Genomic DNA, 2536 nt, shown 5'->3' on the forward strand with positions numbered 1-2536 from the left:
GCATCTGCTTTTTAGCTGGACATCTTTCCTTGTGTTTGCTAGGCTATGTCCAAGGTAGGTTTTGCCAAGATCCTATGTTTGCATTCAGAGGTAAATTAGACAGATAGATAGATCTGTTGATATAGAGAGATGATTTTAAATTTACACACACACTCACACACACACAAACTTCAATTCATAGGTAAAATAAGTTATTTTTTCATCTTGAATTAAATAAGTTGCATTAATTTCAGAATCTTGAAAGAATGTGGTATATGTTTAGGTATGAAGCAACAAGTGACTTCTCCATTCATCAAAAGTTTGTTGAATGCATGGTTAACCGGTAGAACACAAGAACCTGTGGAGCAGACAAAGATTAATTATACCTGTACTCATGCAACAATGTTTGTGTTCCAAACAAATTATATTTGCTTGTGTTTAAACGATGCATAAATCTGATGCGTGCAGATGAACGTGTGTTCAGGATGAGTGAGCACACTTGTTTGAATGTCATATTTATCCCTGTATTTTGTCAGAAAATTAACTTCTTTGGAGTTTGTGCTTGAGCTGAGCATATGGTTGTTGATCTCTGGAGATGACAGCCTATCTGAGCAATAGCTCCTTATGGCTCCAGCTCTCCTCGGCTGGCAGATGCTTTGGGCTTTTCTACAATTAAGTGGAGATCATCACTGTTTTCTTTGAGCACTGCTGTGCCTTGTACTCTGAAGTGTTTTGTTAATCACTGTCTGCCTTCGACAGAAGCTGCCAAAGCTCTCATTAAGTTTGAATTTTGAGATGTCATGCTCGAATGATGGAATTTCATCCTTTTTCTGCATGAATGGAATTGGCTATGGAAAGGTGCCAGAAAAAAAAAATCATGTCACTAAAGTATACTTGCTTTATATTTCAGAGATAAAACAAAAGGCAGTTGGGGGAGGGGGATTCCCAATAATTTGTCAACCCTGGAGCATGTAGTTTCCTAGGTGATATAATTGTTGGGTGCTCACCCTTATTAACAGGAATGGTTCCTTCATTGCATAGATCAACGATCAGTCATTTCCTTGTTTCCTAAGTGAACTTCAAATGTCTTTTCTTACTGACTCCAAGACCTTTTATGGCATTTGATATTGACTCTTGGTATGTTGAAACAGAAAGTAGATGTAAGTTGCACACAAGTAAAGCAATTGCTTTAATAACCTGTCTGTCTAATTGGGGGCAAGTGAAGATATTTGATAGTAAAAGACAAAAAAAAAAAAAAAACAAAACCCGCCACTTTGCCCTTCAAAATAATTGCATGAAGTTGTATAGAGACTAAAAACTAAATGCATCTGTTGACTATTTAATGATTTGCTGTAGGAAACTAAGTGTTATGGGAAATATGATTTGAAAAGACATTACCCATTTCTCTTGGCGAATCTAATTGTTTCAGTTGAATGAGAAAAAGTAGAAAGTAAGCCTTAAAGAAAAACAATACTTAAGAGTAATTAGCTCTAATGCCTAATCACTTGAGTCATAAAGGATTTAGAAATTTATTAAACTGATCTATAAAGTCCCATACTTGCAAAGACTGACATCTTCCACTTGTTAACAAACTTCAAAGGCAATACTGTTTTTGTGTCCAATGTGTCTGTGGCTCAATTATTTTAATCAACAGCATATGCGATGGATAGTTTATGGAAACATTTTAATGGTCACAAACAAAACAAAATTCAAATCTATTACTTAGAAGTAGGAAGAAAGCTGGCCACTCTGGCTGCGGTAATCCTGCAGCCTCTTTACTTCTGTATGAATACAACATGCATTTTTCATAAGGCCAGAACAGATTTTATAACACACTGTTTAAGTACAGTGCCTACCCTTTTAGACTATTTTATTGAATCTACATATTGAAAGTGCTGGAGTAAAATGTTGATTGAGACTTTTGAGGGAAAACATTAGCTAATGAATTTTATTGGTGATTAGAAAATTAGTATTATTTCTGCACTCTAGGAACACTTGAGGAATATGCTCTAGGAAACTTGTTGCTGTAATAGTAGGTGAGAATCATAGGATCTTAGACAGAAACTAAGAAAAACTTTCAGGTAAGTGTATGTTCCTGTAAATTCCTGATTTCATCTTTTGTCCTATGTTTAGACAGAGAAGCTGACCACTGTTTGACATAAATTCACTCATACCATGAGATCGTACTCCTACTACCCAAAATATCTCCTCTACCTGAGTCTAAAGAACTGCCTTTAGAAAGAAAAATAATATTAAGTTACAAATGTCCCTTGAGACAGATAATGCTTTTGTCTCTCTATACATCAGTAGGAATTAGTACATCCTACTTAGCTCACTGTCTCCTATCAGAGAACAAAACGTGAGGGTAGCTGCCAATTTTAATAAGATCTGAAAGGCCTAGTGTAGAGCATTTCTCACAGAGCTGACTGGTGGAGTGCTCACTTGTTGGGTGTCCTTGATGTTTCAGAAATGAGATGGTGGTGCTCTGGTACACAGGGTTGTAAGAACTAAGGGAAGAAATGTTAACTTGATCTATTTGACAATGTATAATCCAAGT

At 36.0% G+C, this 2536-nt stretch overlaps 1 annotated feature.

Annotated features, from left to right (window-relative positions):
- Nucleotides 347-848: an enhancer, noted in NCBI's record as "NANOG hESC enhancer chr5:91181280-91181781 (GRCh37/hg19 assembly coordinates)". NCBI's record gives its function as "activates a minimal SCP1, AML or CMV promoter by ChIP-STARR-seq in naive H9 embryonic stem cells {active_cell/tissue: H9 hESC(naive)}" and the evidence as "EXISTENCE:reporter gene assay evidence [ECO:0000049][PMID:30033119]".

This window comes from Homo sapiens, chromosome 5 (assembly GCF_000001405.40).
Source record: "Homo sapiens chromosome 5, GRCh38.p14 Primary Assembly".
Taxonomy (NCBI): Eukaryota; Metazoa; Chordata; class Mammalia; order Primates; family Hominidae; genus Homo; species Homo sapiens.